Here is a 15532-nt window from a genome sequence, read left to right on the forward strand (position 1 = left end):
TGGACACATCTGAACATCTGAAAAAACAAACTCCAGACACACCATCTTTAAGAACTGTAACACTCACCACGTGGGTCCGCGGCTTCATTTTTGAAGTCAGGGAGACCAAGAACCCACCAATTCTGGACACAACGGCACTGATGGGAGTATAGCAGTGTCTGGTCACCACCTTGCTTTTGATGGGTTTTGGCTGGCTTCTTTACTGCAACCTACTTTATCAGGAAGGTCTTTATGACCTGTATCTTGTGCTGACTTCATATCTCATCCTGTGACTTGGAATGCCTTAAGCATCTGGGAATGTAGCCTAGTAGTTCTCAGCCTCATTTTACCCATCTCCTACTCAAGATTTAGTTGCTCTGGTTCACACGCCTCTGACATATCAAAATATTCTTTATACCAGGGAGCCATATTTTAAGGTGAAATTGGCTGCACTCCTTCAATGTGCTCTAGGGGAAGAAACCTTGAATTGAAATTAAAAGGAGTTGGTTTCTAATCATAAAACTGTCATTGAGTAGAGCTACAAAATCTTGAGTCTCAGTTTATTCTTTTGGGAAATGGTGTTGGGTTAGGTGGTATTAGAATTACCTTTAAGTTCAGGCTAACACGGATGATGGGGGTGAGGGGGAGGAAGTAGCCAGTAAGTATTCTGTCTCTGGTCTTTGAGTACCTGTTTCTCAAACATTAGTGTTGAGTATAAAAATGTTCTAGGAATAAATGCTCAGTGCTGCAAATTGAAACCAGCAATCAGCCAAAAGTTCTCTCAGCAAGGAAATTTATTTCTGCAGAAGGGTGCCACTCACGTCAATCAAGATGGCAAGAGCACGGGGAACAAAGGAGAGCATCAAGCTTTTATCTCTGATGGTAGTCCCTACCTCTGTGTCACTCCCCCATGGACTGGGGTCAGACCGCACAATCTGAGCTAAGCTGATTGCCTTCTTGCAAATATTTTTCTAAATATGGAAGGGAAGGGGGATGTGAGGTACGGTGGTGAAGCATGTGAGATGTGTAGTTTTGGGGGAACAGTGGGTGCAGGTAACCAAGGGAACAGATGTGAGTTATTCATTAGAGCTGATGGGAAGGGGGTAGTCTGTTTAACAGTAACTAGGGGCAAGGAGGAACAAGAAAGTTGAGTTTGGGAACAAAAGACAAGGAAGTTAGCAGGCTAAATCTTTGAAGAGAAACTCAGAGAAATTCATTGTATCTTACATGAGGTAAGAAAAAGCCATGAAAAGAGGAATTAATCAGAGTGAACTATTGTACCTTGATCTTTTCCTTGTGGGCAATCGGGCCACAAAATCCAAAAGAGAGGAGCTGAAGCCTGACTGGCCAGCCACACAGAACTTCGTGAAGATCCCTGCAGAGGCTACAACACAAACAAACAAAGGCATAAAGAAGCCAAATTCATTCAAGAGTGTGATGGCCTGTGAGGACATTAAAGAAACCCAGAACCAGATAGTTATTCAAGTGGTGAAAACAGATTTCATTCAGGAACAATTACAGTTGGGGAAAATACTTCAGTGGCATATGAGAAAGGAAAATAAATCTTGGGTACCCCAAACTCATAAAGCCAAGGGGAAAAGTTAAGCTGGGAACTGGGTCATGCAAACACAAACTTGCCTCCCCCTTTTGGTTCCTAAATAAGACGGCTACAAGATGAAAAGCTACACACCTCCCCAAAATATTTTGCCTACAAGGAAATTGCTAGTGAGCTCCAAGATCTTTACCCTAAGGTGTTTCTGTTAAAAATTTCACCGTGACAGTGTAAGTTGATAGCTTATCTCTACAGATGCAGTCACCCCTGCCCACTTGACACAAATGCATATCTGATCGTTGCCCTGCCCCATTTTATCTATCTTGTCTTATATAAAAAATGCAGATTCTCTGCATTTTTCCTCTGTTCCATTTTCCTATGTCATCTTATGTGTAAAAAAAAAATGCAGATTCACTGGGCCAGACAAAAGCATGAATGACTGTTTTTCCCTACCGCCCTTACATGAAAAATGTATACTTCTCAATATCCCACCCTTTCCCCTTTAAATTGGGAGCCCTCAAAATTATATTCAGAGAAAGGCCTATACTTGTCTCCTGGAAGTGCATCCTTAACTTTAGCAAATAAACTTCCTAAAATAATTGAGACTTGTCTCATCATTTTTCTTGATTGACACATAGAACTGGGATCAATTCCAAATATATCAAGAACAAGTGGGGGCTGGGTGCAGTGGCTTGTGCCTGTAATCCCAACACTTTGGGAGCCAAGGCAGGAGGATTGCTTGAGTTCAAGGGTTCAAGACCAGCCTGGGCAAGATAGCAAGACCCTGTCTCTACATTTTTTTTTATTATTATTATTAGCTGGGCACATCCCTGTGGACTCAGCTACTCAGGAGGCTGAGGTGCAAGGATGGCTTGAACCCCAGAGGTTGAGGCTTGAGGCCATTCTGAAGCATAAAAATGCCACTGCATTTCAGCCTGGGCAACAGAGAGAGACTCCTTCTCATAAATTAAAAAAAAAGAAAAGAAGTGGGAATTTACAGCCAAGGAGCAGGTTGAGGAGTGGTTGGTAGACAGAAAATTACTATTACAACAGAGTAGAAAGAACCTTGTTAAATTAACCTAACAGGATTCTCTTGGAAGGCAGGCCAGGGTGATCACATGTCACCTGGGGCATGGTGAGGGATAAGGAATTGGATCAGATATTAAAGGTGATCAGATGTCAAGGGTGGGGAGTTCTCTCAATCTGAGGTAACAGGATTCTTGCTTCAAGTGGGCTAGGGAAGCTCAGCAAGCACAAAGCCCAAGTGAAGGCCTAGTGGAGAACAGGGCTCAGAGAAGTCAGACTAAAGTCTAGTCAAGGAGAGATGATTTGTTGCTGACAAGTAGTGCAAACAAAAGAGGACATAGGGGCACAAGAATCGTTGATGTCAGCCTCTCCAATGAGGGCAATTCCAACTTCAAAATATCGACTTTGTTATAAGAACATTAAAAAGAAAAGCCTTATGCAAATATGCGTCTATTAACAATTATACACAACAAATATATAGATGTATATTTCAGTTATTTATTTATTTTTTTCTAGCAGAAGCAACACGTTTCTGGGCTTTAAAGCTCTGTGGATTATACACATTTAAACAAATACCCTCATTAAAAACTCAAATTCCAGAAGCTCTTTGCAAAGAGGACCAGTGCCTATTTGAATATTTCATAGACTATAATAAACTGGCTCAGATTTCCTTGGCTGGTTGAAAGGTTCTGAAGAAAAAAGAAAGGAAAAAACATATTCAATGAAAGTGTTAAATATCCTCCAATATCTGGAGCTAGCAACTTCTCTGCATGGGTTGAGCTGAATTTCAAAACCATTGTCATTCCTAAGACAACCTGTAGTTTTAAATGACTAGCTTGTCAGCCTTTAAGTTTTCTGCATTTGCCTTTTCTGCTTTAGTGAATAGTAACAATTACATCGCAAACAGCATGTTATTTCCAACTGTTTTTTGACAGAAATCTTTGTGTTACAAATATTGCAAACTTGAGTTCATTTGCATGATTCATTTTTTATGTAAATCTTAAGGGTGGAGTTTTTCTTTTAAGACTTCAATAAATTTGGTCTTTAAAATAGTATTGATTTGTCTTTCTCACACACACAAACACATACTTGCTAAGCACAAGTGTTAAGGGTTTGTATAGATTTGGAAACAATTTTTAACATACAGTTGTTAGGTTCATATAGCAAGACTTTAATAGCTGGAATTCACTGATTGGGGGAAGGGAAATGATGCATTTAGAAAAAGGAACCAGGGAAATTATATATTCTTTTTTTGTTTTTTGTTTTTTTTCAAAGAACTTGTTCCAACACCCTCAAACTGAAAAAGAATAGATTGAATTTTCTTATATGTAATCAACTGAAAATGTCATTTCTGGTTTAGAAAGAAGACAGAATTTTTGTGTTATGAAGTACAACGGGCTTGGGGATAGCAAAGGATGACCCAGATCCTTGAAGATGTTTATCTTTCAAGCTGATTTAAACATTTAACAACTACCGAGTCTTTGAAGATCTAAGGAAAAACCAGTAGGATTAAAGCCTATGTTCCAATGTTTTAAAATAACTTTAAATATCTAAAGTAGCACAAAGGCATTGTTTATTAATTATATCTAGCTTTTGTAGAATATATGTAGTAACATATTTATAGCAATTTATCCATATATATGTATGTGTGTATATACATATATGTGTATATATGTGTGTGTGTACGTGTATATATGTTTACTGAACACTAGATATGCAGAAGGCATTGATCTTTGCAAAGAGGAATAAGTGAATGTTAGCTACAAAGGTTTCAGCCCTTGATGAAGAGACTTTAACATTTACCTTAGATTGGCTAAACTTAAGACAGGTGTGTTCATGACTACACTCCCATGACCTACTTCTTCGTAGAAGATTGACTTTAGAAAACTCATAATTGTAACTTCTTTCTCTGCCTCTTTGAGATGTAAATCTTTTCTAAGACTCTTGAAGTTTTATAACCCAGGAATGTCTTCTCAAGGACCTGGGAGCCATTTTTTGAAATGTAATCATTGAAGGAGATAGTGCCTCTGTCTCTTTGTGGGAGGGTAGGCTTAATACGTGACCATTAGCAAAGAGATGTCCTAAGTACATTGACTAACCTCTCCCCTAACATCCTCTTGGACCTTTGCACTAGCTCATCCCAGTGCTTAAAAATCCTCCAGTCCAGGCTTTGGTTTGCTTGGCAGAGATTAGTTCAATCTCTATCCCCTATTGCCATAGTTTTGAATATAGTCTTCCTTGCCTGTTTAAATCTGTCTGGTACAGGTTTTTGTTTGTTTATTTTTCATCCTCAAGGAATATAAAATCTAGAGAAGTAAAAGTCACAGTTAACTTAACACAAGAGCCTTCAGTTAGTTAATACAGGAAAAATCACCCAGGCAGTCACAAAAGAGAGATTTCACTTTGTAATCACAGATACAAAGACTTCACAATAAACATCTAAGCTATACAAATGACTTGAAATGTAATGCATCCAAATTCGTTTATTTTTATTTTGTTAAATATACCTATTTTTTCCTAATGTGATTTAACATGACTATGATGCGTTTACAATTATAGTAGTGAGGATGCATAAAATTGTGAAGAGTTAATGAATACCTAAACAATACCACTTAAATCAACAGCATTTGTCCTCAATGTTTTTCTTTGTGAATTCTTTTTACCTAAATTCTAAAATTAAATTTTGCTGAGTGTTTTCAAAATGTCAACTCCCTGATCATCCAAATTTGCCCTTTTCATTTTATCTCTATAGAATTGGCTGCCAAATCCTATCGTTTCTTAGATAATCCTTTCTTCTACTTAACTATTAATATTACCATTGTTGAATACCAAAAACCACCACCAATTATAATGTTTACTGTAAATGTGAATGTGTTATACTATCCAACTATGTACATTAACATGCCTTTATTATTTTAAGACATTCTTAAATAGATGAAGTTGTAAATAACTTCGTTTCCAGGATCTCTGCAAAATTCATTTACCTAATCAACAAACAACTTTAAGAAGCTCTCAGGCCAATAGATTTCTTAACGAAGATCATCAAAAAACTTTGTACTTTACAGGAGTGTTTTAAAACCCTCACTGGCTTCATCCATTAATTCCAGGCTATTATGTTCGTAATCTATACTCAAGCCCTATCAGCCCCCAACACCACTTACAGACCTGCTTTACCAGCATCCTGCCCAAGACAACCTCTTAAATATCTATTTCTCTCCTTCCTCTCAGATGCTACTAAGAATCTTATCAAGGTAGTGGCCTCTCTTAAAGCAGTCAGCAATAAACTTACCTTTGCTTTATCAATGTATTGTTTTGATGGTCTTTTGAAGGAGTCAGCAGTTGATACCACTAAAGACCAGGCCTTTGTCAGTGCCTTCCTATCCTGGATTGCTGTTGTAGCCACTTAGCTAACCCCTCATCTTCAGCCTTTCATCTCTTTAGGGTATTCTGCACACCCTAGCTAGACATCTTGTGCAAGAAATTGGGAGAACATTAACCACCAGATAAAATCCAATTTCTACTGTCTGACCTGAAATATATCCCAAGTTCCCTTTTCAGATTTACTGTCTATCATACCCAATAGTCAAACTCAATTTTAACCAGAAGGGCCAATTCAATTTTCTCTCTCTGTCTTCCTCCGCCTCATTTTCTGATGTTTCTACACAATTTGCTCTCAATCCCTATTTGTATAAATACTACTCAAATTTTAAACATTGTTCAATTCACATTTCAACTAATAAATCCCTTATTTTATCTGTTTGCCTTTTCTGTGGTCTGAATTCTCTACTGTTTTGAAAGTCTGCTGTACAAATCATTGTTGCCACACAATTGGCCCTTAACTTATAACTGCCTTGGACATTTTACTTCTATTTCTCCTGACTGATTGCTTGCAGGCATGAATTAGGCTATATATTGCTTTTTAATTTCCTATGACAAACTAGCAATTCACTTTTTGACCTTTGCCTGCTCACACCTTCAGTATCTTCCAGTTCTCTCTGGTGGAACTCTTGGTGGCAGCCATACATAGAGGATATAGCTCAAGATTGACCTCCAGAGCTAGTGATGGTCTCTGACCTACTTGTCATGCAAGTCAATGTTATCAAATCCATGAATGATACAGAAGGATGTAACTTCAAAGCGTATTATTTATGTATCTTTTCAGACATTCTAATGAACTTTTTTAGCTGTTACATACAATAAACTAAATGAATTTAAAGTGAACAATGTGATAACTTTGGGTATATCCATACATCTTGAAACCATCATAATCTATTACCATAATAAACACAATGAACATTTCCACCACACTGAAAATTTCCTCATGCCTCTTTGCAACCTATTTCTACTTCTTCTCCTCATCCTCATGCAGCCATTGATTTCTTTTCTATAACTATAGATTGGTTTGCATTTTCTAGAATTTAATATAAATGAAATCAAAGAGCATGCACCTTTGAGAAGGAAGGGCTAACTTCTTTCACTCAGCATAATTATTTTGAATTTTATCCATATCATTGCATGTATCTGTAGTTCATTTCTTTATACTGTTAAATAGATATTTATAAATATAGAAGTTTTACCATTCACTTGCTGATGGACACTTGTATTATTTCCTGTGTTGAGCTATTTTAAATAAGGCTGCTATGAACATTCTTGGGAAAGGCTTTTTATGAACATATGATTTCATTTCTCTCAGTCAAACAACTAGAATTGTTTGGCTGAATCACATAGTAGATATATGTTTAACTTTTTAAGGAATCAACAAATTATTTTCCAAAGTGGTTGTCTCATTTTCATTCCCACCAGTAAAATATAAATGTTCTGGTTCTTCTAAATTCTCATCAACATTTTGTTGGGCCACAGTTTTCATTTTAGCCATTCCAATTGATGTGTATGCAGTGTTATTGCATTGTGGTTTTAATTTGCATTTCTTTGACCACCAATGAGCTGAACATCTTTACAAGCATTCATTTTCCACTCATCTTTTTTAGTCTCTGTCTGTATAGAACTTTTACATTTCTTAACTGAATTGTCGGTGTTTTAATTACTGAGTTTTAGGAGTTTTGTATATATTTTGGACATAAGATCTTTTTGATCACATGTGAATGTGATTTGCAAAACTTTGTTCTACTCTTTACCTTGACTTTTTTATTCCCTTAGGAGTACCATTGAAAACACAGATACTCTAATTTTGATAAACTACAATTTGCCATTCTTTTCTTTTATAGAACATACTTTGGGCATTGTACTTAGAAATTTAGCCTTACCCAAAGTAATGTAGATTCTTTTCTCCTATGTTTTTCTTTTACAAGTTTTATATATTTAGCTTTTCTTTTTGGGTCTAGGGTCCATTCAGAATCAACTTCTGTATGTGGTGCTAGGTATGGATCAAAGTCAATTTTTTTTTATGTAAGGATATCCAAATTTTCTGGCACCATTTGTTGAAAATACTATCCATTTTTCTACTGAGATGAATTTGTATCTTTGTCAAAAGTCAATTTACCATATATGTGTAGGTCTATTTCTAAACTCTCTATGCTGTTCCATTGATCTGTGTATTACTCTTTATACCAATAACACATTCTCCTGATTACTGCAGCTTCATAATAAGTCTTAAAGTCAGGTAGAGTGTATTTCTTCCTACTTCATTCTTCTTTTTCGAATTTGTGTTGGCTATTCTATGCTATTTGCATTACTATATAAACCTTAGAATTTCCTTGTGAAATTCTTAAAAGAGAAACTTGCTGGGATTATGATTATTATCACATTGAATTGATATATCGCTTTGGAGAGAGCTCATAACAGATTGAGTTTTCTAACCTGCAAACACAATCTTTCTCTCTGTTTGTTTAAATCATCATTATTTTCTTTCAGCAAGGCTTTTAGATTTTAGTACACAGGCCTTATACATCTTCATCATATTTATTCCAAATCTTCTTATTTTAAAATTCTATTTGGGATAGTATTTTTTACTTTGATTTCCAAATGTTTGTTGCGAGTATATAGAAATACAATTAATTATGTATATCCATGTTCTATATTGTGACCGTGATAAATACACTTAAGTCTTATAGCTTTTCCCCCTTCAAACTGGATATCTTCAATTTTTCTTCAAGTCTGATTGTACTGGCTAAAATGAGAATTGGTGAGAGTTCCTTGTTCCTGATGTTAGAAAATAAGCATTTAGTCTTTCACCGTTAAGTGTATTGATAGGAGTATATTTTTTATAGATTGTCTTTATTAGATTAAAAAATTCTACTACTCTTAGTTTGCTGAGAGTTTCTATGAAAAGCTGACATTGGATTTTGTCAAATGATTTCTCTCATCTCTTGAAATATTTACATGGATGGTCCTTCTTAATCTGTTAACATGGTGAATACCTTAATAGATTTTTTTAGTGTATTTGTATTATTTATACATCCTACCTGGTCATGATGTGTTATCATTTTGACTTATTGTTTGATTTGATACACTATGATTTTGTTTAGAATTTTTGCATCTATGTTCATGACAGATACTTGTCTGCACTTTTTTTTTCTATTGATATGCTTTGTGTCTCAGAATAATGCTGGCTTTATCCAATAAATTCAGAAATACTACGTTCTCAATTTTCGGGGAGTGTTTGTGCAGAATTGGTCTTTTCCCTAAAAGTTCAGTAGCATTCAAAAGTGTAACCATCTGAGTCTCGAATTTTGTTGTTGGAAAGGTTTTGAAGTACAAATTTAACTTCTTTAATACACATGGGGGCTATTGTGGATCTCTATCTCTTGATAAAGCTTTTGTAGTTTAAGACTTTCAAGAAATTTTCTCATCTATGTTGTGAAAGAACAACTCTAACATGAAGTTGTTCATAATATTTAATAATTATCTTTTTTTAAAATGTATCTATCAGCTCTGTGGTGATGGCACTACTCTTATTCCTGATACTGTTAATTTGTCTATTCTCTCTGTGTTCCTGCAGAGAAGTTAATCATTTTTATTGCGTTATCAAAGAGCTACCTTTTCATTTCATATATTTTCTTTATTGTTTTGCTGTTTTCTATTTAATTAACTTCTGCTCTATATTGACTATTTCCTTCTCCTTATTTTGGATATAATTTACATTGGCTTTTAGTTCCAATTTGTCCTTAGGTAGATACTGAGAATATTGCTTTGAAACTTTTTTTTCCCTACATGTTTTCTTTTCATTTGTATTGACTTCAAAATACTTTCTAATCTCTATTTTTGTTTTTTAATTTACATTTAAATAATTTAGAAGTATGTTGTTTAGCTTCCAAACATTTGGGATTTTCAAGTTTTTTTTTATTATTTCTTGTTTAATTTCATTGCGGTCCGATAATACGTTTTGTATGATTTAAGTACCTTATGTTTACTGAGACTTGTCTTCTGGCCCAGACTATTTTGTTTTTAGTAACTGTTCCGCTAATATTTGGAAAAAAGATACTGATTCCTGTATTCTGTTATTTTGGGGTGGAATATTCTGAAAGTGTCAACTGGGTCAACTTGGTTGAATGTTGTTTGAGCCTTCATTATTCTCACCTATACCCTGCACACTTAATTCTATCAAATATTGAGAGTGGGATATTAAAATCCCTGACTTTAATCGTGTATTTTTCTATTTCTCTTTGTAGTTTTATCAGTTTTTACGGAATGACTTGTAAAACTCTGTTATTAGGTGCATAACCATTTAGAATTATTTTGTCCTCTAGATGAATTGACACCTTCGTCATGTTGAAATTTATCCTTGAATTACTCTGGAATTTATTTCTCTGATATTAATAGAACTATCCCTGCTTTCTTTTCATAGGTAATTTTTTGGTATATTTTTTCTTACCCTTTTACTTTCAACGTATTCATGCCTTTATATGTAAAGTCAGTTTTTAATTAGGACTTGCTTTTTATGCTATATGACAATTTCTGCCCTTTAGTTGGGGTATAGACAGCACATCATATAATTATTGATAAAGTTGGAATTACTTTTTTCTGTTGGTTTTAATTTGTCCTCCCTTTTTTTTTTTTTTTCTTTTCTGTTGGCCTTCCTTTGAATTAAATGAGTATTTTTCATAATTGCATTTCATTTCACTTGTTGCCACATTAGGTACAACTGTTTGTTGTGTTATGTTAGTGGTTACTTTTGGATTTGTATAATATGTAATTCATTCCTCACATTCTACATTCATGTTATATCATATCACTTTGCATGTAAGAATCCCAGGACAACATACTTCCATTTTTATCTTCCTATTCTTCGAACTAGTCTTACCATCAATATACCTATACATATGTTATAAATCAAATAATTATCTTTATTTTTAATTTTTTCTGAATACAGAAACACAAGTGGAAATAATTATCATTTTTGACTTAAAGAGTTCATTCTCTTTTTAAAAAGTAGGCTTATTCTTAAAGAAGTTTTAGGTTCACAGCAATATTAGCAGAAAATGCAGAGCTCCCACATACGTGCATAACTTCCTTCATTATTAACATCCCCTACATGGTAACATATTTCTTATTATTGATGAGCCTACATTGACACATTGTCGTTACCCAATATCCATAGCTTACATTAGGATTCACTGTACATTCTATGGATTTGACAAATATGTAATGACATAGATCCCCCAAACTAGCATCATACAGGATAGTTCACTGCCCTAAACAATCCTCTGTGCTCTGTCTCTTCATCCTTCCTTCCACACTACTCCCTTGCAACCACAGATGTTTATATTATCTCCATAGTTCTGCATTTTCCAGAATGTCGTATACTTGGAATCATACAATATATATCCTCTTCAGATTACCTTATTTTACTTAGTGATATGCATTTAAGACATTCCTCCATGTCTTTTCATGTCTTCATGGCTCATTTATTTTTACCACTGAATAATATTACATTGTCTGGATGTACCACAGTTTGTTAATCCACCTACTGAAGGAGATCTTGTTTGCTTCCAATTTTTAGCAATTATGAATAAACCTGCTGCAAACATTTATGTGTAGTTTTTCATGTGGACATAAGTTTTCAACTCATGTGGGTAAATACCAAGGAGCACAATTACTGGATCATATGACAAGAGTGTGTTTAGTTTGTGAGAAGCTGAAAACTGTCTTCTGAAGTGGCTATCACAGTTTGCATTCCCACCAGCAGTGAGTGAGAGTTCCTGTTGCTCCACATCCTCACCAGCATTTGGTGTTGTCAGAGTTTCAGATTTTTGCCATTCTAATCTCTTGTAATTGTATCTCACTGTCATTTTAATCTGCAAATCCCTAATGATGTATGATGTTGAACATCTTCTCATATGCTTATCTGCCATCAGTATATATTCTTTGATGAGATGTCTGTTCAGTTCTTTTGCCCAAATATTTTTGCCCAAATATATTTGCCCAAATATTTGGGCTGCGGTGGTTGTGGGGCTGATGAGAAACCACTGAAGTTCCTGGGGAAGCAAAGTAGAGTTTCATAAGAACAAAATGGATGGAGAGGAGAAAACCTGTGGTGGCTGTGAAGGCCCTGATGCGATGTATGTGAAATTGATATCATCTGATGGCCATGAATTTATTGTAAAAAGAGAACATGCATTAACATCAGGCACAATAAAAACCACATTGGGTGGCCCAGGTCAGTCTGCTGTGAATGAAACCAATGAGGTCAATTTTAGAGAGATACCTTCGCGTGTGCTATCAAAAGTATGCACGTATTTTATGTATAAGGTTCGCTACCCTAACAGCTCCACCGAGGTTCCAGAGCTCCCAATTGCACCTGAAATTGCACTAGAACTGTTAATGGATGTGAGCTTCCTAGATTGTGAAATAAAATAAATTATAATAAACTGTTAACTCTTTTCAGTATTTAATACCTGTAGTTCAGTTAGTAATTTTTTCATATATAGCATGTTGCCTGTATGCAGTTGAACTATATAAAGTTCATTGCAAAGGAGATTATCTTCTGTTTTTTGCATAGCAATCAAAGTTGAAGTTTGTTGCTACATCAACAAATTAAGGATATTTCCACAAACTGAGAAATAAAGATGCCAATTTGTAAAAAAAAAAATAATAATCATCATAAAGATAGTTATTTATATTTACCAATGTGATGACCAATTCTGGTTCTATGCATTTCTTTGTAAAGATCTATTATTTTCCTCTCAAATTATTTTCTTTTAGCTCTTCTATGTGTAACAAGTACTTATTTTATCTTTAACTCCAAATGATATATTTATTAGTTATGGAAATCTAGGCTGACATCTTTTTTTGTTTGTTTTAGTCATTTCAGTAATTTAGTTTTGTGGCTGTACTTTCTGGCATTGTTTCTGAAAAAAAAAGTCTGCTGTCATTCTGATCTTTGTTAGGTGAATCATTCAGATTTTCAATCTAGGAGATGATTGTTTTTATTAACTTTGGAAATTTGTGCACCATTTCTTCAAATATTTTTCCTAGGTCAGCCCTCTTATCCTCTTTCCTGACACATTCTATTTAAACTGCTTGAAGTTGTCTCACAGACAACGATGTTCTGTATATTTTTTAGTCTTTTTTTCTTTCTGTATTTTATTTTATACAGTTATGACAGCTATATCTTCAAATTACAAATCTTATCCACTATAATGTATGATATACTATTAATTGCCCCTAATAGTAATAATAACCATTTTAATGTCATTATCTACTTAAGACCTGTGTCTTTTTTTTTTTTTTTTTTTTTTTTTTTGAGACAGAGTCACTCTGTCACCTAGGCTGGAGTGCTGGTGGAGCTATCACAGCCACCACCTGGAGCTCCTGGGGTCGATTCTCAACCTCAACCTTCAGAGTATCTGGGACTACAGGCATCTGCCACCATACCTGGTTAATTTTTATTTTTTGTACAGATAGGGTCTCACTATGTTGCCCAGGCTGGTCTCAAAATCCTGGGCTCAAGTGATCCTCCCACCTCAGCCTACCAAAGCACTGGGATTACAGGAATGAACCACCATGGCCAGCCTCACCCTGTCCTTCCTGAGTTGGTTTTGATGGCCTAGTATTTCTGTTAATTATATTTTTCTGCTTAGTTGCATGTCTAGTACATTTTCATTGAATTTTACTGATTGTGTACTAGATATTTTTGTATTCTTATAAGTTTTCTTAAGCATTTTTGGCTGGGCGTGGTGGTTCATGCCTGTAATCCCAGCACTTTGGGAGGCTGAGGTGGGCGGATCACTTGAGGTCAGGAGTTCAAGGCCAGCCTGGCCAACATGGTGAAACCCCGTCTCTACTAAAAACACAAAAATTAGCCGGGCATGGTGGCACGCGCCTGTAGTCCCAGCTACTCATTAGGCTGAGGCAGGAGAATCACTTCAACCCAGGAGGCAGAGGTTGCAGTTAGCCGAGATAGTGCCACTCCACTACAGCCCCGGTGACAAAGCACAGCTCCGTCTCAAAATAAATATTCTTAAGCATTTTAGAGTGATTCAGTTTTACTGGGAAATTGATCCTTTTGAGACTTGCTTTTACAAGTTTGTTAAGTGGTACCAGAGCAGTGTTTAGTCTGAAGTTAACTTCCCCACCACCCAGACAAAGCTCTTCCAAGTGTTCTGTGCGATACTCTGAATTATGAAGTTTCTCACGTTAACTAGTGGGAAAAGGAACGATTACCAGCCATGACTAAGTCCCAGGGACTGCTCCTTCTTCTCTTTTTAATGATACTTTTTGCAGCCTCAGTACATGTGCCCAAATGTATGCATTGATCAGTACTCAGCTGAAGGCGTGAAGGAGATCAACTGCAGATCTTCACGTCTCTGTGCGTGCAGCATTACCATTCTTTCTTGTGAATTGTGGATATTTCCATAACCAGAATTTTTGCTTTATCTCAGAGAGCTCTGGGCTCTACAGTGCTTCCCCTTCTTATGTCATAACAAAAACTCTCCCTTGGCCATCAGCTGTGGAGACTGAAGACTCCTCTCATGAAGTTTTGTGTCTCTCATGAATCCTTGTCTTTCGTTGCCTGATGTCCAATTTTGTTAAAATATATTTTTTTAAACGCTTACATTTTATCTGTTTTTTTTTTTTTTCATTGTTTCTGGTGGGAACTTAAATTCTGGCCTGTTGAAAGTGTAAGTGTCTCCTTTTTAGTTTAAGAGCCAATTCATATTGTATTTCTGATATTCTACGGGAATTGTCTTGTTCAGGGTTTTACAGAGTTTGGACATTGATGGAAATAAAAAAAATAAAATTCTAAAAATGCAACACCTTTGCATTCAGATTGTAACAGCTGTAATTCAGTCACCTATTCTTTTTTAAACGAGCATTTATATGTGAGTGTAAAAATTATTTTAAGTAAAATTCATGTACTTGTTGTTTTTCTCTTTTTATATGTCACATTTTGAAAACAATAATTTATCAATAGGTCGGTGCAATAATAACAATTTTACTGAAGAATATATTAGTCGCCCTTCTTTTGTGGAGCAGTTTTGATGAAGTCCTCTCTCAAGACAAAGTCATGATTTTTGAAGCCTTTTCTGAGATCTTGTCCAGAGTGTAATATTAAAACGTGCCTTCATTGCTCATTTGTATCATCTTATACCACGTAAAATTTTTCTTTGCCATAACAACCCTAATATATTTTTAACTTATGTCTAGGTCTATGTGAAACAAATAATTCCAAAATTTTATTCTTTTAAACTACTAAAAATTCCCAATATTTATATTATTATGGGGACTTGTAATATATATATATATATATATATATATATATATATATATATATATATATATACACACACACACACACACACACACAGTAAAAATAGGGGAGAGTTCAGTAATTACAGTGTCAATGCCCCCAAATACATTCTAATAATTAAAAAGTAAAAGGCAAACCCAACCTTCTTTCCACTTAATAGATTCTCGATTAAAACAGAATAGCAATCAACTTTTATGAGCATTTTGATTACAAAGCTGCTTCACTTCTGACCAAATCAGCTTCACTGATTCATTATATTTTTCCTC

At 35.2% G+C, this 15532-nt stretch overlaps 1 pseudogene, besides 1 other annotated feature; it reads left to right on the forward strand.

The window, feature by feature from the left end:
* Nucleotides 3284-3788: an enhancer, noted in NCBI's record as "OCT4-NANOG hESC enhancer chr10:10207451-10207955 (GRCh37/hg19 assembly coordinates)". NCBI's record gives its function as "activates a minimal SCP1, AML or CMV promoter by ChIP-STARR-seq in naive H9 embryonic stem cells {active_cell/tissue: H9 hESC(naive)}" and the evidence as "EXISTENCE:reporter gene assay evidence [ECO:0000049][PMID:30033119]".
* On the forward strand, nucleotides 11976-12595 carry ELOCP3 (elongin C pseudogene 3; annotated as a pseudogene).

The sequence above is a fragment of the Homo sapiens genome, chromosome 10 (assembly GCF_000001405.40).
Source record: "Homo sapiens chromosome 10, GRCh38.p14 Primary Assembly".
NCBI classification, from domain to species: Eukaryota; Metazoa; Chordata; class Mammalia; order Primates; family Hominidae; genus Homo; species Homo sapiens.